Source organism: Homo sapiens, chromosome 3, assembly GCF_000001405.40.
Source record: "Homo sapiens chromosome 3, GRCh38.p14 Primary Assembly".
Lineage (NCBI taxonomy): Eukaryota > Metazoa > Chordata > Mammalia > Primates > Hominidae > Homo > Homo sapiens.
The window spans coordinates 196,820,195-196,843,458 of NC_000003.12; the positions used below are offsets into that span (position 1 = coordinate 196,820,195).

Consider the following 23,264-nt stretch of genomic DNA (forward strand, 5'->3'; position numbering starts at 1 on the left):
AGAGTGTGTTACATCATGAAAATATTTTTAAACTCATTCTGGTTTACTTTATTAATGAAATCTTTAAAAACAAGAGGCCTAATAGTCAAAATATAATTAATTACATAATCTGAAGTGAACTCTTCTGCTAAAACCATCCATGGAAGCCATTAACTCTGTTTTGTTTTGTTTTGTAGCTGACTTTGGTTTCTGTGCCCAGATCACCCCTGAGCAGAGCAAACGCAGTACCATGGTCGGAACGCCATACTGGATGGCACCAGAGGTGGTTACACGGAAAGCTTATGGCCCTAAAGTCGACATATGGTCTCTGGGTATCATGGCTATTGAGATGGTAGAAGGAGAGCCTCCATACCTCAATGAAAATCCCTTGAGGGTAAGATGAGTTAAACACCAGCCTTGTTCAATGTTTTTCTTTGAAACTCTTATTTAGAACTTGCACGTGCCTGGCACTGTCCAAGAATTTAAAGTAGAAGGTTGATAAAACCTAATCTCTGCCCCTAACTCTGCATCTAGAAATCATTTGCTCTCTGAGTTACAAATTAATGTGTTAGGTGAAGACTTTGTAGGTTTTTAGTAGTAAGCTGTATTGTTTTGTATTTTACGTAGGAAGTTTGGAGCACCTGTCTCTAAAGCTTCTCCTTCTTTTATTTTTTAAGATGTTTTGAGACAGGGTCCCACTCTCTTGCCTATTCTAGAATGCAGTGGCGCAATCTCAGCTCACTGCAACCGCCACCTCCCAGGTTCAAGCGATCCTCCTACTTCAGCCTCCTGAGTAGCTGGGACTATGGGTGCGTGCCACCACACCCAGCTGATTTTTGTACTTTTCATAGAGACGGGGTCTCTCCATGTTGGGTCAGGCTGGTCTCAAATTCTTGACCTCAGTTGATCCACTCGCCTCGGCTTCCCAAAGTGCTGGCATTACAGGTGTGAACAACTGCACCTGGCCACTTCTCTTTTTTTTAAATTACCATATGTGGCTCAACATTATCAGTTATTAAGGAAATGTAAATCAAAACCTCAACAATCAGAGGCTGAGGCAAGAGAATTGCTTGAACCCAGGAGGTGGCAGTTGCGGTGAGCCAAGATAGCACTACTGCACTCCAGCCTGGGCGACAGGGTGAGACTCTGTCTCAGCAAAAAACAACAAAAAACCCCACCACAACAGGATAACACTTCACAACTACTAGAATGGCTGTACTCAAAAAGACAATTAATAAATATTGGTGACCGGGTGCGGTGGCTTACACCTGTAGTCCCAGCACTTTGGGAGGCTGGGGTTGGAAGTTCAAGATCAGCCTGACCAACATGGAGAAACCCCATCTTTACTGAAAATACAAGATTAGCTGAGCATGGTGGTGGGTGCCTGTAATCCCAGCTACGTGGGAGGCTGAGGCAGGAGGATCACTTGAACCCAGGAGGCGGAGGTTGCAGTGAGCCGAGATCATGCCATCGCACTCCAGCCTGGTCGACAAAGCGAAACTCCGTCTCCATAAATAAATAAATAAATGTTGGTGAGAAGATAAGGAAACTAGAAATCTCGTTCATTGCAAAATATAAAATGGTACATCTGCTTTGGAAAACAACTTGACAATTCTGTGTGAAGTTAATACGGAATTACCAGATGACCTAGCGGTTCCTCTGCTGGGTACAGAGCCAAGAGAATTAAAATCATACATCCATACAGAAACCTTCATGCAGCCACAGAAGTGGAAATAATTCAAACCTGGTGAACAGTGGAATATTATTTGGTCATAGAAAGGAAGGAAGTGCCAATCCGTGTTACAGCATTGAACCTTGAGAGTACTGTGCTAAGTGAAAGAAGCCGAACAACAGATGGCAGCAGATTCTGACCGTCTGTTTCCTGAATGCTTTTCATCCAGTTGCCAAAGATTCCAGTTTATGTGGGCCGTTAAAGTACTTCTATAGAGGTGATTAGTTTAGACCACTTTTCAGAATGACATTAAAGCCCTCTAATGTTATTCATTCATTTAGCCAGTATTGGTTTGGGTACCTGCCATGCGCTGAGCACTATTCACAATGCTGTCTAAAAGAACCCACAAAAATTCCTGCTCTTACAGAACTTGTCTTCTAGTGGGAAAAGAGAAAAACAAAATAAATCAGAATAATGTGTCATACATTGAATAATGGACTCTTGAGTACTGAGACTGGCAGGAAGGAGGTTAGGGTGTTTACTTTCAAAAGGTGCTTAGAGAGCTGGGCACAGTGGCTCACGCCTGTCATCCCAGCATTTTGGGAGGCCAAGGTGGGAGGATTGCTTGAGCCTAGGAGTTCAAGGCCAGCCTAGGCAACATAGTGAGTCCCCATCTCTACAAAAAAATTTAAAAATTAGCCAAGCATGTTAGTGTGTGCCTGTAGTCACAGCTAATTGGAACCATCATCCTGCCCCAGTGCGTGGGTCACTTGGGCCCAAGGAAGATGAGGCTGCAGTGAGCTGTTATCACATCACTGCACTCCAGCTTGGGTGACGGCTAGGACCTGTCTCAAAAAAAATACAATAAAAATAAAATGTAAAATTAAATCAAAAGCGTGCATAGGGAGGGCTTCCCTGAGGTGACATTTGGACACAGGAAGTAAGAGCGTGATACTTACCTGAGGGAAAAGCATTCTAAGCAGAAGGCACAGCAAGTGCAAAAGCTCTAAAGCAGGAGCGTTCCTTGTGTATTGAGAGATGATTCTGGACCTCAGCACAGCTGGCGTACGCTGAGCAAACAGCGAGAGGTGCGGTCGATCGGCGAAGAAACCAGGCCAGACCGTAGTGCCTTATGAGAGCTCTGGAAGGATTCTGGCTTTTACTGGAGGCCAAATGGGGAAACTGTTAGAGAGATCTGAGCAGAGAAGCAAAGTGGTCTCCTTCAGTTTTAATAGGATTTCCCTGGCTGCGTTGTTGAGAGATCCCTGAGGAAGGCAAAGGCAGAGCAGAAGACCAGTCAAGAGGCTGATGTCATAATTCAGGCAAGCAGTGATGATGGCCTAGACCAGGGCAGTATCAGTGGAGGTGGGAAAAAGTGGTGTGAGTCTGGATGTATTTTGAAAGAAGAGTCTACATGAGAGAGAAAAGACTAACGGGATCTGTTCCCAAGTAACTCAACTGCATTCCTGTACAAAGCTGAAGAGTCTTACAGGGCTGCGTCTATAGCCAGGAGTACGCTCAGGCTTCAGAAGAGGCTCGCCTCCAGTGGCCTTCACTGTGGCAAAAAGGTCTACTTGAACCTCAGTGAGATCGGTAAAATCACCAGCGCCAAGCTCCTATCAGCAGATCCAGAAGCTGATCAAAGATGGGCTGATCATCTGCAAGCCTGTGACTATCCATTCCCAGGCTGGATCCCCGCAAACAAACAAACAAACAAACAAACAAAAAAAACACCTTGGGCCGGGCACGGTGGCTCATGCTTGTAATCTCAGCACTTTGGGAGGCCGAGGTGGGCAGATCACTTGAGGTCAGGAGTTCATGACCAGCCTAACATGATGAAACCTCGTCTCTACTAAAAATACAAAAATGAGCCAGGCATGGTGGCGTGCACCTGTATTCCCAGCTACTCGAGAGGCTGAGGTGGGAGAATTGCTTGAAACTGGGCGACAGGGAGAGATTCTGTCGCAAAAAAAAAAAAAAAGAAAAAAACACCTTGGCCCACAGGCATATGGGCATAACTGCTAATGCACACATTACCAAAAAGGCAGCCTGGATGAGGAAGATGAGAATTCCACCCCAGCTGCTCAGAAGACACTATGAATCTACCGAGATTGACCTTCACGTGTATCAGAGCCTGTACATGAAGTGAAGGGGGACGTGTTCAGAAACAAGCAGGTTCTTCGGAACTCATTCCAAGCTGAAGATAGACAAGGCCTCAAGAAGCTTCTCATTGACCAGGCCAGGGCACATGGCTCTAAGACCAGGAAAGCACTGTAGTTCCACGGAGAGTGCCTCTGGGCCAAGAGAAAATCATTAAGACTGTCCCAGGAGGAAGAAACTAAGAAATAAAGGTCTCCCTCTCTCGTCTGTACATAGTGGATCTTGGTGATTACATAGATCCAGTCATTCAAATACAACAAGATTTTATCTGCCTGATGGGGGGAAAAAGCATATTGGTAGGAATACAGAAATAGCCAGGACCCAGCAATCACCCAGACATCAGTCAAAGTTTACCAGACAGGCAAAGGAGCAGGCAGATGCAGCCCATAATGAGAAAAACTTCCAGGCAACTGGAACGGACAGAAGTTCATTAAAACAATCTCACGACTGCATTTCAGTTGTAAGAACTTTAAATGCATATTGCTTAGTGAAAGAATCCAGTCTAAAAAGGCTACATATTATTTCAACTGTAGAGAGTAAAAATGATTAGTGGTTATGGGGTTTGGCAGGGGATCGGGGGTAGAGAGGATGAGTAGGTGAAGCACAGGGAATTTTTTTGGGCAGTGAAATTACTTTGTATGATATTATAATGGCGGACACTGGAGAGCATTCATTTGTCAAAGCCCATGGAACAACTAGGCACGGTGGTGCACACCTGTAGTCCCTGCTGCTTGAAAGGCTGAAGCAGGAGGATCTCTTGACCCCAGGAGTTCAAGGCCAGCCTGGGCAACATATCGAGAATGCATTAAAAAAAAAAACAAGACCATAGGACTGTGTAATGTAATACAGAGTGAACCCTAATGTAAACTGAGGGCTTTAATTTAATAGAAGTGTATCAATATTGGTTCATTTGTAACAAATGTCCCATAGTATAATAATGTAGACAATAATAAAACTCCACATTGGGGAGGTTGCGTGTGGGAACTCTGTACTATCTGTTCAATTTTCTGTAAACCTAAAACTTCTAAAAAATTAGTCAGTTAAAAATAATAATTTAGGACCAGACGCAGCGGCTCATGCCTGTAATACCAGCACTTTGGGAGGCCAAGGTGGGCAGATCGCTTGAGGTTAGGAGTTTGAGACCAGCCTGGCCAATGTGGTGAAACCCCACCTCTACTAAAAATACAAAAATTAGTCAGGCGTAATGGTGCATGCCTGTACTCCCAGCTACTCGGGAGGCTGAGCTGCAAGAATTGCTGGAACCCGGGAGGCAGAGGTTGCCATGTGTTGAGATCATGCCACTGCATTCCAGCCTGGGCAACAGAGCGAGACTGTGTCTGAAAAGAAAAATAAATAGGCCAGATGCAGTGGCTCACACCTGTAATCCCAGCACTTTGGGAGGCCAAGGCGGGCAGATCACAAAGTTGGGAGTTTAAGACCAGCCTGGCCAACACAGTGAAACCCCGTCTCTACTGAAAATACAAAAAATTAGCCGGGCATTTTGGCGGGCGCCTATAATCCCAGCTACTCGGAAGGCTGAGGCAGGAGAATCGCTTGAACTCAGGAGGTGAAGGTTGCATCGAGCTGAGATCGTGCCATTGCATTCCAGCCTGGGCCACAGAGCCAGACTCCGTCTCAAAAATAAATAATAAATAAATAAATAAATAAAATTCAATTTATAGAAATGTAAAGGAAATAATTAGAACTATGTAAGGATTTTCTAAAGGGAGTTGATTAAATTAGGAAACATTCATATAAGGCAATATTTACTTAAGCCATTACAGTAATTTTATAGATCTAGGTAGTTATTAGTAATGATGACCTGGGATAATTTGTTTTTTTGGTTTTTATTTTTGAGACAGAGTCTTGCTGTCTTGTCCAGGCTGGAGTTACAGTGGTGCAATCTTGGCTCACTGCAACCTCCACCTCCCATATTCAAGCAGTTCTCCTGCCTCAGCCTCCCGAGTAGCTGGAACTACAGGCATGTGCCACCACACCCAGCTAATTGTTTTTTTTTTGTATTTTTAGTAGCGATGGGGTTTTGCCATGTTGCCCAGCCTGGTCTCGAGCTCCTGAGCCCAGGCAATCCACTTGTCTCAGCATCCCAGAGTGCTAGGATTACAGGCATCAGCCACCATGCCCAGCCTAATTTGTTTTTGTTTGTTTGTTTGTTTGTTTATTTTTGGGACGGAGTCTCGCTCTGTCGCCCAGGCTGGAGTGCAGTGGCGCAATCTCGGCTCACTGCAAGCTCTGCCTCCCGGGTTCACGTCATTGTCCTGCCTCAGCCTCCCGAGTAGCTGGGACTACAGGCGCCCACCACCACGCCCGGCTAATTTTTTGTATTTTTTAGTAGAGACAGGGTTTCACCATGTTAGTCAGGATGCTCTCAATCTCCTGACCTCGTGACCGGCCCGCCTTAGCCTCCCAAAGTACTGGGATTACAGGCGTGAGCCACCATGCCCGGCCTTGGTTTTTTTTTGTTTTGTTTTTTGTTTTTTAAGTTTTAACAAATCTCATTTTTTTTAATGATATGTATGACTTGAAAAAAATTTGAGAAACCTAAACAGGATGGTCAATGGTGAGGTTGTGGTTATTTTTAATTATTAACATTGTTTTATTTTTTAAAGCAATATGGGCTGGGCACAGTGGCTCACACCTGCAATCCAGCACTTTGGGAGGCCGAGGCAGGTGGATCATTTGAGGTCAGGAGTTCAAGACCAGCCTGACCAATATGATGAAACCCCACCTCTACTAAAAATACAAAGATTAGCAGGTCATGGTGGTATGCATCTGTAATCCCAGCTACTCGGGAGGCTGAGGCAGGAAAGTCACTTGAACCCAGGAGGCAGAGGTTGCAGTGAGCCAAGATTGCACCACTGCACTCCAGCCTGGGTGACAGAGCAAGATTCCGTCTCAACAAAAAAAAACAAAACAAAAGCAATATGTATTGCATTTATAACCGAAGAAAAACCAAAGGTGAATCTGATTTCAGAAAAGTAACTTAAGGAAATGTAACATCTAAAAATAAGAGGAAAGTATCAAATCTAAATTTAAATGGGATAATGATAACCCCAGTTTAGTATTTATGGTGATTTTCTTTAAAGAAGAAAGAATCCCTTAGACTTTATGGAGTGCTCTGTGACCGTGTTGAGCTATCTTAAGTGGATCAAAGATGTTCTTCTATTTTTAGGCCTTGTACCTAATAGCAACTAATGGAACCCCAGAACTTCAGAATCCAGAGAAACTTTCCCCAATATTTCGGGATTTCTTAAATCGATGTTTGGAAATGGATGTGGAAAAAAGGGGTTCAGCCAAAGAATTATTACAGGTAAATTTAAAAATGATTTCATTTGGGGGAATAGTTGACTTTTTTGGTAACCGACAGAAAGCTTTCCTAGGGCTAATAAGTAGATTTCACTACTCATTGATCACCAGCGGTATGGCAGCTGCTGCAATTTAGGGTTTCATCCTACCATGCTGAGCAAACTACCGCAAGGACAGAAAACCAAACACTGCATGTTCCCACTCATAGGTGGGAATTGAACAATGAGAACACCTGGACACAGGAAGGGGAACATCACACACCGGGGCCTGTTGTGGGGTGGGGGGAGTGGGGAGGGATAGCATTAGGAGATATACCTAATGTAAATGATGAGTTAACAGGTGCAGCACAGCAACATGGCACATGTGTACATATGTAACAAACCTGCACGTTGTGCGCATGTACCCTAGAACTTAAAGTATTAAAAAAAAAAGTGAGGGTTTCATCTGCTGTGAATAAAATTCTGACAAAACCGTAATGTGCAGTTTGTGCATCGTATCAATCCTCAGACCTGTTTACAGTTTGTGCATCGTATCAATCCTCAGACCTGTTTACAGTTTGTGCATCGTATCAATCCTCAGACCTGTTTACAGTTTGTGCATCGTATCAATCCTCAGACCTGTTTACAGTTTGTGCATCGTATCAATCCTCAGACCTGTTTACAGTTTGTGCATCGTATCAATCCTCAGACCTGTTTACAGTTTGTGCATCGTATCAATCCTCAGACCTGTTTACAGTTTGTGCATCGTATCACTCCTCAGACCTGTTTATTGCTGTTGTGTGTATATTTGTCAAACTAAAATGATTCTGCTTTCATTCAACTCTGAAAGTAATGCGTTGATTATGTTAGTCTTATGAAGGTATTAATATGTGTTTAGTTTATTAAATTATGATCGACAAGTAGTCTTTGGGGCTTAATTGAACAAAATTATTTTGTTTCTAACCTGATGAATGGCACTTATACATTTATTTTTCCCCTTCTTTCTGGCAGCATCCTTTCCTGAAACTGGCCAAACCGTTATCTAGCTTGACACCACTGATCATGGCAGCTAAAGAAGCAATGAAGAGTAACCGTTAACATCACTGCTGTGGCCTCATACTCTTTTTTCCATTTTCTACAAGAAGCCTTTTAGTATATGAAAATTATTACTCTTTTTGGGGTTTAAAGAAATGGTCTGCATAACCTGAATGAAAGAAGCAAATGACTATTCTCTGAAGACAACCAAGAGAAAATTGCAAAAAGACAAGTATGACTTTTATATGAACCCCTTCTTTAGGGTCCAGAAGGAATTGTGGACTGAATCACTAGCCTTAGGTCTTTCAGCAAACAGCCTATCAGGGCCATTTATCATGTGTGAGATTTGCATTTTACTTTGCTGACTTTGTTGTAATAGATCCCATTCATTGTCCCCTTTGGGGTATTTCCAATACTTGAATGGCAGATTGGAGTTTTTCAGAGTATGTGTTTCATCTGCTAGTCTTTCTCTCCTTCATAGCTTTTCTTTTCCTGGACTTGCTCCTTTTGAGTTGCTTTTGCGTTTCTCATGCCTAGGCAAGTGTAATAGAAATTATGTAGCTCCTTATGTTGGCAAAGGAGCTCTATATAGTTTCACTTTGTATAAAAGTTAGGACCAGCTGTTGTTACATGTAATATTTTAGTTCAGAACTTGACCTGAAGGAAGGGAAGAAAAGTATGTGATTTTTACCTTTTTTAACAAATGTGAAAAAGTCAGTTTTAGAAATTTCGTGGTAGTAAGTTCGGCATTTGTTACATGTATAGAGAGAAGACTAATAATCTCTATTTATAACTAAATCATTGAGATAGAAAAAGATTCCCATTGACTGTAGACTTCTTCCCATTTTGTCTTCCCTTCTGCCTGTTTCCCCTTCAGGCTTGGCTCTAGGAACCAAAGTGATTTGTTGTTGTTCCAACCTGGGCTTTGTGACTTTGGTTAGTGCCACTACCTTCTTCCCTCCTTTCCCCCTTCAATTTGGAAATAAATTTCTGTATATGTTGCAATTTTAGGTTTAGGTTTGTTCTTTTTCTTTTTCATTAATCCTCTCTCACCTCACAGATACCCCCTCCCATGGCAAATAATATAATAACCAGTGAATTTTCAGGAATTTAAAAATTAGCTTTTTTCCACTTAAAGGAGAAAAATATTTGGGACTAGCAGCAGAGGCAGTAAGAGATGTGAACCTTGGTGAGCTCTGATACAGTGAGAAGAGATTATACTCATGAAAGAGAATGTTAGTGTTACAGAGAAGCAGCCGATAGCAAATCGACTGTAGAGACTTGGCGGCGGTGGCATTGCCCCAGGTCGTCAGCAGTGTGGTATTATCTATGAGAACTTGAGCGACAGAGTATTTCTTGATGAATTTATAGATCATTTGAGATGTTGAGTTACTTTAGTTTAGTTTTGTTTTGTTTTTTCAAATAAGTAGAGACTATTGTAAAAAACGAGAAAGGAAAATGAAATGTGCGTGTTGATAGCAATAATTTGTTTCTTTTAAAGATTCTAAAAGGTCTGAGACCTGTAGCATTAATTATTTGAGTGCCCTCCCTTCTCCCCTCCCCTCCCTTTTCTCTTCTCTTTTTTCCTCTCCTCTTCTTCTCCTTTATTCATTGTTTTGCTTTTGGAGTGGGTGTTGTTCAAGTATCTGTGGTTTGGTTCTGGCATTTTGTTCCCACCATCCCCTTCCCCCATTAACTTCCCCCCTGCTTGCCATCCTGCAGTAGTATAAATCATGAATAAAAAATAATTTTGCTGTTGTAGTATACATTGGAGAAACTGGCAGGTTTTATTTCCATTATTTTATTTCCACTATATCTATGATAAGATGCAATTATAAGGAGAGAAGTGACTGTTTTTTATTGATAAGGCAAGATTTTCAGAAAAATGAGTAAAATAATTAATGAAACATATTTAGAGCACTTAATGGTCTCTGTTTTCAATATAATTCTTGATTTCATTTTTCTCTGGAATATATTGGCCTTCTACAGCTATTACTGAATTATAGAAACTGGTTTATTTCTGGCAGAAAGCTGCAGTGCCACCTGAGTTCCAAATTTTACCATTCTTTGTAAACAGTTGGATGGATTATGATAAAGAAGATGCTACCAATGAAATAGAAAACCAACGAGATGAGAAGACTGTGATCCTCATGTACTCAGAGGCACTTCCCTCCTAAGTCAAAGACCATCCTCACTGACTATGTGCCAACGCCTCGTTTCAGGCTTGTGACTCAACAAAGGGCTTTTCCATTGATAGAAGCAGTTTGGGATTTGTAGTTGCGACTTCTTCGATAGTTACCTGCACGTCCATTGCTGGCAACTGACTTGTCATTAAAACCTGGCTCTTTGGTTAAGGGAGCTACGCTGTGGTTTATTCTTAAGTTACGTGGATAAACTAACCTCTAACAGAAATATACTTTGGTTAATTTTGAAATGTGTCATTTTTAAACAATCTTAAAAGTAATACAGAATTGTGATTTATTAATTTTAAAACATTCAGAACTTGTTGAAAGAAAAATTATATCTGAATCAAGATTCATGTTTTTTATTTTTATTTTTTTTGATACAGAGTCTCACTCTGTCACTCAGGCTGGAGTGCAGTGACATGATCTCAGCTCACTGCAACCTCCGCTTCCTGGGTTCAAGCAATTCTCATGCCTCAGCCTCCTGAGTAGCTGAGACCACAGGCACCCGCCACCACACCCAGCTATTTTTTTGTATTTTTAGTAGAGACAGAGTCTCACCACATTGCCCAGGCTGGTCTCCAACTCCTGAGCTCAGGCAGTCTGCCCACCTTGGCCTCCCAAAGTGCTGCAGTTACAGGCGTGAGCCACTGCACCTGGCCTCATGTTTTTTAAATAATTGCCTTTTATATTTACCCTTTTTGTCATCACTTTAGAATGAAAATTCCCATTTAAATCTGAAAGTTACCTTAATAGTCCTCTTGTGTTATTAGGACAGTATTATTATAGTACTTATTTATTTTATTTTAGATTTAAAGTTATCTTCTCTTTTTCTTTTTTCTTCTGCTGCTTTTAGGGACAATTAAAACTGGGAAACTATGAAACATGGAACATTTTATCCTACCTGAAAGTAAACGAGTAATTGTGAAGCATAAGACACTGAGGCTAATACAACTCTGTCTTCATGTGTTGACTGCCTGGCACATAGTATTCATTCTCTTCCCTTTAACATAGAAGTGTCCAGCTGCGTACAGTCTAGTAACCAGCAACTGTAAACGAACCTGTGCCTCTAACAAGCGATTCTAAACCACCTATGAGTATTTCTTTTAGGGCTCACTTAAATACATGTTTGTATATACTGTATTCTAGCCAGAATAATTTTAGATCTGATCAGGTAGTAGCTAAAATTAGAAAAAAACAAAATAGATGCTTAAAGAATTTGCATCCATTTTTGAGTCTAAATCTTTTAAAATATACTGAGATCCACATCTAGTGAAATGTCAGTGTCAAAATATTATAGATTATAGCTAAAATCCAGATTAATACTCATTTGGGGTTTTTTATAGTGGAACTTCATAGTAATACAAAAAGCAGATTGTCTTCCTGTCTCCGCTGCTCCCACAGTAGGTATTGAAACTGGTAAAATCAGTTTTTTGATAGTGTGTGTATATAAGAAAAAATAGATACACACATTCTTTTTTCTCAGTCAACACATTGATTGAACACTCTGGCAAAGATGCTGTGGTGGATGAGGTTGGAGTTCGAAAGAAGAAGCAAGCGCTGGCCTGGCCTTGAAAGAACCGAAGTCTTTCCCATTCACTTCTCTAGAAAGCTGCCAAGACAGAGGCAGAAAGAAATGGATGATAGTTCTGTCAAGCACACTTCTGTTCTCTTAGAACTTAGAAGTGTTTCTAAGAGAACAGAAGTAATAAGAGAAACAGTTACGTGTGGAATTCAACATCTTTGGTTGGAACGCATTGGCTTTTTTTTTCTTGTTTTGATAGAAATGGAATTAAGCAAAAGTAGTTTTTGTCTTTTCTGTTGTCTTCAAATTTTATGCCTTTTATTTTTAATTTAATCCCGTTCAATTATTTAATTGTTATACATTGACATTAACTGCTGTATTTTGACTTTGTTCAATAATTTTGTTCTTTCAGGGCTAGAAATAAACTTTTTAAAAAAAGTGTGCATTTTTCCCTTTCCTAAACTTTTATTCTTTCTTTTGATCAGCGTAAAAGAATATTTTAATGTCTTTTGATAGCATAAAAGAATATTTAAATGTCTTAATAGGTTTTCAAAGAACATTTAGTATTTTTAGTGATAAATGTTTTAAACCTTTTAATGGTGTTGTGCCATCATTTTGAATTTATTACAAAGCTCCAAAGTAGGAAGGTTTCTAGAAATGTGTGGGCAGTAAACATGAAGTTTTCCTTTTTTTTTTTTTTTTTTTTTTTTTTGAGACAAGTCTCACTCTTTCTTCCAGGCTGGAGTGCAGTGGCGCCATCTCAGCTCACTGCAACCTCTGCCTCCCAGGTTCAAGTGATTCTCCTGCTTCGGCCTCCTGAGTAGTTAGGGGAAGTTTTCCCTTTCTAAATCAAGTTCAGAATAATTTTCTTTATCAATGTTTCTCTATCAGACCCAGGGAAACAGTTCTGATTTGAACACACACCTTGCTGGAGTAATAAAAACCTGATCAGAATTTCTGTGTTAAGTGAACCAAGAAACCTTTTAGAGTGCAATACGTCGTAAGGCATCACTTCATTATGTGAATTAATTTGGAATCTTAGGTACCCTAACATAGGGAACAGCCACAATAATGGTTTACTATCAAAAAGCATAAAATAAGGCCAGGCGTGGTGGCTCACACCTGTAATCCTAGCACTGGGAGGCTGAGACTGGCGGATTGCCTGAGCTCAGGCAGGAGACCAGCCTGGGCAACATGATGAAATCCCATCTCTACTAAAATACAAAAAAAAATCAGCCAGGTGTACTGGCACATGTCTGTAGTCCCAGCTACTTGGGAGGCTGAGGCACAAGAATTGTTTGAACCCGGGAGGTGAAGGTTGCAGTGAGACAAGATCATGCCATTGCACTCCAGCCTGGGTGACAGAGCAAGACTCCTGTCTCAAAAAGAAAAAAAAAAAAAAAAAAAAAAAAAAAAAAAAAAATATATATATATATATATATATTCTGGGTGAGAAGGGGAGGCAATGACTTTGAAATGTATTTGTTACACTATATGGCTGTTTCGTCTTGTTCTAACATTTATATTTCTTTGAACTAATAGCAAATGCTCAAAGCATTGCCTAAGAAAACTTTTAAAAGCCTGTGGTTAATTTCAGAAGCTCTATCTCTAGGGCTTGGCGGGAGGATGGCTCGAGCCTGGGAGGCAGAGGTTGCAGTGAGCCAAGATGGTGCCGCTGTACTCCAGCCTGGGTGACAGAGCAAGGCCCCTGTCTCAAAAAAAAAAGAGTTGGTAATTGCCTATATCTCTATAAAGAGAATTTTATAGTCTCAATAATCCTGATTATAGCTGTTTTACCCATACATCTTAGTTTGGGGTTAGGGAAAAAGACTAAAAATGCTGCATTTCTGGGAAACAATTTGTTCAGAAAATGACAGCATTTATATAAACTTGTGAGTTACGTGAAGAGACTGCTGATCTTCGCCGGGCGCGGTGGCTCCCGCCTGTAATCCCAGCGCTTTGGGAGGCCGAGGCGGGCGGATCACGAGGTCAGGAGATCGAGACCATCCTGGCTAACGTGGTGAAACCCCGTCTCTACTGAAAATACAAAAAATTAGCCGGGCGTGGTGGCAGGCGCCTGTAGTCCCAGCTACTCGGGAGGCTGAGGCTGGAGAATGGCGTGAACCCAGGAGGCGGAGGTTGCAGTGAGCCGAGATCGCGCCATTGCCCTCCAGCCTGGGCGACAGAGCGAGACTCCGTCTCAAAAAAAAAAAAAAGAGACTCCTGATCTTGAAAGGAATGACGCCCGTGGATACGTCATCTCTGGATAGTTGTTAGAAGGTGCCCGTTGCATTCCCTCGTTCATCCGTCCCAGTTTGCTCTGGAGCAGATGCAAACGTCTCACCCTCGTAGTGCTGTAACAGGCCAGATAGAGTGACAGTGCCAGATAGAGTGACAGTGCCATACATTTCTGTTTTTCATTCTTAGACCTGTAGGTATGTACAGCACAGCATCATCAACGCGTTGCCAAAAAACTATTTTCCTCCAATTCTTAATAAACTACTTCACTTTGACTTCTATATTTAAAATAGAAGTATAGGGCCAGGCGCAGTGGCTCACACCTGTAATCCCAGCACTTTGGGAGGCCGAGGTGGGTGTATCTATCACCTGAGGGCAGGAGTTTTAAGACCAGCCTGGCCAACATGGTGAAACCCCGTCTCTACTTAAAATAGAAAATGAGCCGGGCATGGTGGCGGGCGCCTGTAATCCCAGCTACTCAAGAGGCTGAGGCAGGAGAATCGCTTGAACCCGGGAGGCAGAGATTGCAGTGAGCCAAAATCACACCATTGCACTACAGCTTTTTGAGACTCCGTCTCAATAAAATAGAAGTGTACCATTTTCAAAACCTAGTTGATCACGGCCATAAAATTAAGTAATATCTAACAGTACAATCCAACTGTGATTGCTTTAATATATTGTCAGTAAAATCTTTAAGGAGTTTCAGGATTGAAACTAGAAGACATCTTAGTCACATTCAATATTCCTTACATTTTAGTACACTTTACGATTTGCTGCTAGTATCTTTGTTGAGCTGTTTTTCAGTAAACTAAAAATCTTAATCATTTGAGGTTTTAGTATAGATACTGTCACTGTTTTGTTCACACTCTTGGTGCTGTAGGAGTGTAAATGACCATCTCATTTGTTCATCTGTTCATGCTCTATTGGAGCATGCCGTAAGACTGTGGTGTCATTGAAAGTGACCTTTGGCCATGGACTGTTGGATATGTGGATCAGCTACTTTCATATAACTTGCATTGTCAGCAAATACTTTTCCACTTCCCTTCAGCCCTGCGTATTTTACCACGGATAAACGGTGTTCCATTATGCGCCTGCTCTGTCCCATTTCCGTAGTGTCTTTTTTTTATGACAAAGCACAGCTGGTCAAGGTGTTATCATGGGTCTGAGTGCACGAGTGTTTGTTGCTGCACGTTCCCCATCCAGTCACTAAGCAAGACACAGAACTGTATGAAAGCTTATTTTTACTTAGTTTCATCTTAGAGTCACATTTGAACTTGTGAGTTTCTTTTAAATGAAACTGTGTTTAATTTTGAGATTTGCTGCTAGGGGGAGGACTCCTTACGCTTTTTGAAGTTAGTAACAGCCCTCTCTAGTAGAATGTGCACAAAAACGGTTAATGTGAATTGGTGGGCTTGTTTCTGTGCTTTGTTTTGAGTGATAATACAAGGGCCTACATCATAGGGGGTTTTCAGGGTTAAATTCATTCATTTCAAATAAAATATTTAGAATGATGTCTAGCACAAAGTCAACATTTGATAAATGTAGTCTCCTCTCATTGCTTTTTTCCCCTCTGATATTGCGGGAGCAGATGCAGAAGTAACAGGATGCTGCACAGAGCTATTTGCACTTTTCTCCCATCTCTCGTATTTAAAAAATGGATGCATTATGGAAATTATGCTGCAAATATTACACAGCTTTTTTTTTTTTTTTTCTAACACAGGATCTCACTCTGTCGCCCAGGCTGGAGTGCAGTGGCACAATCTCGGCTCTCTGCAATCTCTGCCTCCTGGATTCAAGCGATTCTCCTGCCTCAGCCTCTGAGTAGTTGGGACTACAGGCACGTGCCATTACCGCCCAGCTAATTTTTTGTATTTTAAGTAGAGGCGGGGTTTCACCATGTTGGCCAGGCTGGTGTTGAACTCTTGACCTCAAGTGATCCACCCGCCTCAGCCTCCCAAAGTACTGGGATTACAGGCGTGAGCCACCACGTCTGGCTGTTCCACAGCTTTACACAAAGAAGGCCCCCAGTACATCCCTATTTGGTCACACAGTGTGAAATTGTGTATTTTACAGTATTGCATAGTTGGCAATATGAGACTGTGCATTGTAGTTTGGATAATCACTTCCCTGAAGGGATATTGCAGATAAAAAAGTTTAATTTGAGAATTGGTTCTTGAAGTTTTTGTTTGTTGTTTTTTGAGACAGAGTCTCACTCTGTCACCCAGGCTGGAACGCAGTGGCATGATCTCTGCTCACTGCAACCTCCGCCTCCCGGATTCAAACAATTCTCCTACCTCGGCCTCCCAGGTAGCTGAGACTACAGGAGTGAGCCACCACACCCAGCTAATTTCTGTATTTTAAGTAGAAGCAAGGTTTCACCTTGTTGGCCAGGCTGGTCTTGAACTCCTGACCTCAAGTGATCCACCACCTCAGCCTCCCAAAATGCTGGGATTACAGGCGTGAGCCACCACACCCAGCTGTTACAGAGCTTTACACAAAGAAGGCCCCCAGTACATCCCTATTTGGCCACACATTGTGAAATTGTGTATTTTACAGTATTGCATAGCTGGCAATATGAGACTGTGCATTGTAGTTTGGATAATCACTTTCCTGAAGAGAGATTGCAAAGAAAAAAATTTAATTCAAGAATTGGTTTTTGAAGTTTTTGTTTGTTTGTTGTTTTAAATAGAGACAAGGTCTCACTATGTTGCCCAGGCTGGTCTCAAACTCCTGAACTCAAGTGATCCTCCCGCCTCGGCCTCCCAAAGTGCTAGGATTACAGGTATGAGCGACCACACCCAGCCAAGAATTGTTTTATGTATCTATTAGAAATAAGTTTGTAAACCACAGGTTCCAAAGTGTTAGTACCTTTAATGTAACAGGAAGTTCAGTGTTTGTCAGTCTGGGGTTGTCCTGGGACAACCAGGGAGTCCAGCAACCCCACCAGCACTTGGGACTCCACGTTGTCACTCTATCATTCTTAGCATGTAGGCCTGTATCCTTAATGCCTGTTGCAACATAGATACTAGATGGCTGGTGCACCTCCAACCTCTTGTCCGGGTGTCAAGCAGGAGAAAGAGAGATGGCAAAAGGCAACGTGGAAAGCACAAGGGAGTAGTGCTTATATCGAGAGAACACAAATTTTCCCAGAAACCCTCAACTTCTGTCCCACTGGCCAGAACTGTCATTTGGCACCTCATAGCTGCAAGAGAGTCTAGGGAAGAGTGTTTCTCCAGATAAAATGAGACTCGTTAGTGAAGAAGGAGGGATGGAAATAGTATATAATTGTGACTACTATAGTTTGAGTGTGAAAATTGCTCTATTGGAATTTTTTTGTAGCTCTTCCCCTACTATTTCTACAGAGCACTGCCCCGTCTGTTGACTCCTTTGATACTACATGGTTGATGGGGTGCTCACTTTTAGATATGAGAAAAGGGGCTAGAGCATTAATCTCTTCAGTGTTATCCAGGTAGAATTTCAGCTCTTCTGGGTTAAGGAACTGGAAACTTTTCAACTCTCTAGGCCTCATCTCAGCTAGAGAGCTAGTTTTGAAGAAACGTAATTGCTTATGAAGTCATAAATGCAGTTTAAATGTAATTGGCAGTGTTGCAAGTTTAGTGATCCATCGTGGGAGGAGACCACAAGTATCTGCTACAAATTCCTGATTGAGCAATTGATTGATTTAGTTTAGCAGGAGCCTAGGTGACCCTGAGCAAATAGTCCTTCATGGGTGTTCCTGGCCCCTAAGTGTCCTCTAGGGGGTGCTGCTCCCACTGTCATGCTCCTCAAAGATGGAGCCTGCCAGAGGTGAAAGCCCAATTCCTGCCATTGCCCTGCTATCCTCGGGTTTATGTCCCATTCTGGAAGAACTCAAATGTAACATTATTCAATGTTACAAGCAGTCTCACTGTTCAGAAACATGGAGTTCTTTTGGTTCTTGAGTCAAACTTGGTATCAGCAAAGCTACATTCTCATAGGGAGAGAAAACAAGTCTGGGTGTCTCCCCAACTTCCTAGTGCTCCAGAGAGCCTGGCTCCCTGTAATAATTCTTATTCTTAAAAAAAAAGTAACTACATAATAGAGAAATACATTCTGATTTATAAAATTTCAGCCATTCAGACAAAAGAAAGCCTCTTCAATCCCAGTCCAAGTCCCCGTTCCAAAGGAAATCTCTTACTAGTTTCCATCTTTTCAGACCTTTCTCTTTGCATTATACCTAGATACTGGTCAGTTTTGTAGACCAAGCAGTTCTTGAAGGCTGCAATCAAAGACAATTTATGTTTGTTTCCCTCTCTTCTAACCCATTTTACAGGGGTAGTTCTTCCCCATTCCCTGGATGAAATTTAGAGCAAACACCCAGGCAGTTTTACCAATGAGTTCTAAGAATATTCAAAGAAAAAATTCCAATCCTGCACAAAGTATTTGAGGATATAGAAAACATTCCCCAAATTCTATTATAAGGATGGAGTAGCCATGATACCAAAATAATTGAAGAAGAAAATTATAGGATAGGCCAGGCGCAGTGGCTCACAACTATAATCCCAGCACTTTGGGAGGCTGAGGCAGGTGGATCACCTGAGGTCAGGAGTTTAAGACCAGCCTGGCCAACATGGTGAAACTCCCTCTCTTTAGCTGGGCATGGTGGCATGCACCTATAATCCCAGCTACTCAGGAGGCTGAGACAGGAGAATCACTTTAACCCAGGAGGTAGAGGTTGCAGTGAGCCGAGATCGTGCCGTTGCACTCCAGCCTGGGCAACAAGAGTAAAACTCCGTCTCAAAAAAAAAAAAAAAAAGTATAGGATAATCTCATAAATACAAATGTGCAATTATTAAATATATTACTAGCAAACCGAATCTAGCAATGTATGAAAGAGGTAGTGCATCCTAAACAAGTAGGCTTATGCATGTAAAAATCAAGATAATTTACAGTATTAGTAGATTATCTGGGCATCTCAACAGATTAAAGAGAGTGGCTGAGCCCAGTGGTTCACACCTGTAATCCCAGCACTCTGAGAGGACAACACAGGAGAATCACTTGAGGCCAGGCTCAAGACCAGCATGGGCAACATAGTGAGACCCTGTCTCTAAAAAACCTAATAAAAAAACATTAGCCAGGTATGGTAGCACACCTATAGTCCTGGCTACTCTGGAGGCTGAGCTAGGAGAATGGCTTGAGCCCAGGAGTTCAAGGTTGCAGTGACCTGTGATTGCACCATTGCACTCCAGCCCACATGACAGAGTGACACTGTCTCTTAAAAAAAAAAAAAAAAAAGCATTGGCTGGGCACGGTGGCTCACGCCTGTAATCCCAGCACTTTAGGAGGCCGAGGTGGGTGGATCACCTGAGGTAAGGAGTTCGAGACCAGCCTGACCAACATGGTGAAACCCTGTATCTACTAAAAATACAAAAATTAGCCGGGCATGGTGGCATGTACCTGTAATCCCAGCTACTCGGGAGGCTGAAGCAGCAGAATCACTTGAACCTGGGAGGCAGAGGTTGCAGTGAGCTGAGACCTCTCCATTGCACTCCAGCTTCGGCAAAAAGAGCAAAACTCCATCTCAAAAAAAAAAAAAGCATTTAGTAAAATTCAGTATCAATTCATGATTAAAAATATATATTTTAGCAAATTAGGAGTGAACTTTTTTTTTCCGAGATAGAGTCTTGCTCTGTTGCCCAGACTGCAGTGCAGTGGCATGATCTCAGCTCACTGCAACCTCCGCCTCCCAGGTTCAAGCAATTCTCCTCCCTCAGCCTCCCGAGTAGCTGGGATTACAGGTGTGAGCCACCACACCTGGCTAATTTTTGTATTCTTAGTAGAGACGGGGTTTCACCATGTTGGCCAGGCTGGTCTTGAACTCCTGACCTCAGGTGATCCACGTGCCTCGGCCTCCGAAAGTTCTGGGATTACAGTGAAGCCACTGTGCCAGCCAGGAGTGAACTGAATCACTTGAACCCGGGAGGCTGAGGTTGTGGTGAGCCGAGATCACACCATTGCACTCCAGCCTGGGCAACAAGAGCGAAACTCCATCTCAAAAAAAAAAAAAAGAATTTGAAAGCAATGGCTGGGCACAATGACTCACGGCTATAATCCCAGCACTTTGGGAGGCCGAGGCAGGTGGATCACCTGAGGTCAGGAGTTTGAGATCAGCCTGGCCAACATGGTGAAACCTGGTCTCTACTAAAAATACAAAATTACCCGGGCGTGGTGGTGGGCACCTGTAATCCTGGAGGCTGAGGCAGGAGAATCACTTGAACCTGGGAGGTGGAGGTTTTAGTGAGCCGAGATCACGCCACTGCACTCCAGACTGGGCAACAGAGTGAGACTTGGTCTCGAAAAAAAAAAAAAAAAAAGGAATTGGAAAGCAAGATAAAATCTCATTATTTTCAGATAAGGTTGATATGATAAACTATTAAAATTAAGAAATTTAGCAAGTTTGCTGTATGCAAAATCAGTGTGCAAGAGTCTATTATATTGCTAAGCACTAGCAACAAATAGAACACATAATCTTAAAAATCTACCATTTATAACAGATCAAAAATACAAAGTACCTAGAAATGGTCACTCCTGTAATCCCAGCACTTTGGATCACCTGAGGTCAGGAGTTCCAGACCAGCCTGGCCAACATGGTGAAACCCCATCTCTACAAAAATACAAAAATTAGTTGGGCATGGTGGCGTGCGCCTGTAATCCCAGCTACTCAGGAGGCTGAGGCAGGAGAATTGCTTGAACCCAGGAGGCAGAGGTTGCAGTGAGCCGAGATCGCACCATTGCACTCCAGCCTGGGGTGATGGAGTGAGACTCTGTCTCAAAAAATAAATAAATAAACAAAAAGGGAGGATTTTACTGAAAGATTTTAAATGTTGGATTGGAAACTATTTTATGGATAGTTGAAATTGCACTTCAAAAGAGAAACAATTTAATTCAATTTAAGCCAGATAAATGAAACATTGGTTCAAAGTCAGAAATACATAGTCCTCTAAATTTTAGTATAAAGAGACACTTTACAGAAGCCATAAAGTAGCCTGTAGAGGCCAGCACCGGGGCTTATGCCTGTAATCCCAGCACTGTGGGAGGCTGAGGTGGGTGGATCACCTGAGGTCAGGAGTTCAAGACCAGCCTGGGCAACATGGTGAAACCCTGTTTCTACTAAAAATACAAAATTAGCCGGGTGTGGTGGCGCACTCCTATAGTCCCAGCTACTTGGGAGGCTTAGGCAGGAGAATCGCTTGAACCCAGGAGGTGGAAGTTGCAGTGAGCTGAGATCATGCCATTGCACTCCAGCCTGGGCACAAAGAGTGAAACTCCATCTCAAAATAATAATAATAATAATAATAATAATAATAATAATAATATTCAAAAAGGAGAATAGTTGGGAAGCCTATAAATTTCAGCCTATCCTAATTCAGGGATCCTGCTTCTAGGAGGAAGAAAAAAAGGCATCCAATAGAGATGAATGAACGTTGTATACCCCCTTTGCCTCCTTTTCAGGATAATTTAGTGCAAACTTTAATACTCGCCATTCAGATGCTCTTCAGTCATAACTCCTAAACATGCTGAGGGCCTGTTGTGTGTCTGAATTAGTGGATAGGGAAATGAGGCACAAAAGGCAATTTTGAAGACTGGCCTCTTTCAGAATTGCAGAGTTTGGTGGACTTTATTTTTTTCTTTTTTTGGGGGGTGGGGGGCGCAATCTCACTCTGTCACCCAGGCTGGAGTGCAGTGGTGTAATCGGCTCACTGCAAGCTCCGCCTCCCAGGTTCAAGCGATTCTCCTGCCTCAGCCTCCCCAGTAGCTGGACTACAGGCGCCCACCACCATGCCTGGCTAATTTTTGTATTTTCAGTAGAGACGTTTCAGCATATTGGCCAGGCTGGTCTTGGACTCCTGACCTTGTGATCCGTCCGCCACAGCCTCCCAAAGTGCTGGGATTACAGGTGTGAGCCCCTGCACCTGGCCTTTGGTAGACTTTATATTGAGGAGCTTTTGTGGCTGAGTAAACTCTGGACTTTTGGAAGGAGAAGAGGTAGAAAGGTGTTCATGGAAAGGGACCCAATCCCCCAGGAGAGGGTTCTTGGACCTCATGCAAGAAATAATTCCAGGGGAGTCCACGGAGTAAACTGAAAGCAAGTTTATTAAGAAAGTAAAGGAATAGGGCCGGGCGGGGTGGCTCACACCTGTAATCCCAGCACTTTGGGAGGCCGAGGCAGGCGGATCACCAGGTCAAGAGATCGAGACCATCCTGCCAACATGGTGAAACCCCATCTTTACTAAAAATACAAAAATTAGCTGGGAGTGTTGGCATGCGCCTGTAATCCCAGCTACTCGGGAGGCTGAGGTAGGAGAATCACTTAAACCCGGGAGCAGAGGTTGCAGGGAGCCGAGACTGTGCCATTGAGCTCCTCCTGCCTGGGCCACAAGAGCAAAACTCCGTCTCAAAAAAAAAGGAAAAGAAAGGAATAGAGCACGTCTGCTCCATAGGCAGCGCGGCAGCTTGGGCTGCTTGACTGAATATACTTACAGTTATGCTAAACAAGGGGTGGATTGTTCATGAGTTTTCCAGGAAGGGGGTGAGCAATTCCCGGAACTGAGGATTCCTCCCCTTTTTAGACCATACAGTGTAATTTCCTGACGTTGCCATGTCATTTGTAAACTGTCATGGTGCTGGCGGGAGTGTCCTTCAGCAGCTAATGCATTATAATTAGCGTCTAATGAACAGTGAGGACCACCAGAGGTCACCTCATTGCCGTCTTGGTTTTGGTGGGTTTTGGCTGGCTTGGTAACACATCTTGTTTTATCAGCAGGGTCTTTATGACCTGTATCTTGTGCTGACCTCCAGGCCTCAGCCTTATTTTAACCAGTCCTTATTCAAGATGGAGTCACTCCGGTTCAAACACCTCTGACAAAGGGATAAAGAAAAACGTGGTCTGCAGATTGTTGCAAATGAACCTAAGCCAGGTTTGATCATGCCTCATTTTTGTTTGGTTGTTTTTTTCCTTTTTTTTTTTTTTTTTGAGACAGGGTTTCACACTGTCACTCGGGCTGGAGTGCAGTGGTGCGATCTCAGCTCACTGTAAACTCCACCTCCCAGGCTCAAGTGATCCTAACACCTCAGCCTCTCAAGTAGGGACTACAGCCACCACACCCGGCTAATTTTTGTGTTTTTTTGTA

The 23,264-nt window shown here is 42.6% G+C and overlaps 1 protein-coding gene across 4 annotated transcripts in view, besides 1 other annotated feature; it reads left to right on the forward strand.

Annotated features, from left to right (window-relative positions):
* PAK2 (p21 (RAC1) activated kinase 2) overlaps nucleotides 1–12,453 on the forward strand; it is a 92,791-nt gene extending 80,338 nt beyond the window's left edge. For all 4 annotated transcript variants that reach the window (NM_002577.4, XM_011512870.3, XM_047448218.1 and 1 more), the window contains exons 13-15: nucleotides 177–373; nucleotides 7,002–7,139; nucleotides 8,125–12,453. In NM_002577.4, coding sequence (NP_002568.2) covers nucleotides 177–373; nucleotides 7,002–7,139; nucleotides 8,125–8,211 — 422 coding nt within the window. In that variant the 3' untranslated portion in view covers nucleotides 8,212–12,453. The remainder of the gene's footprint in view (nucleotides 1–176; nucleotides 374–7,001; nucleotides 7,140–8,124) is intronic.
* Nucleotides 21,805–21,959: a silencer, noted in NCBI's record as "fragment chr3:196568870-196569024 (GRCh37/hg19 assembly coordinates)". NCBI's record gives its function as "represses an EF-1alpha promoter that drives an FKBP-Casp9 reporter gene in an ReSE screen in HepG2 liver carcinoma cells {active_cell/tissue: HepG2}" and the evidence as "EXISTENCE:reporter gene assay evidence [ECO:0000049][PMID:32094911]".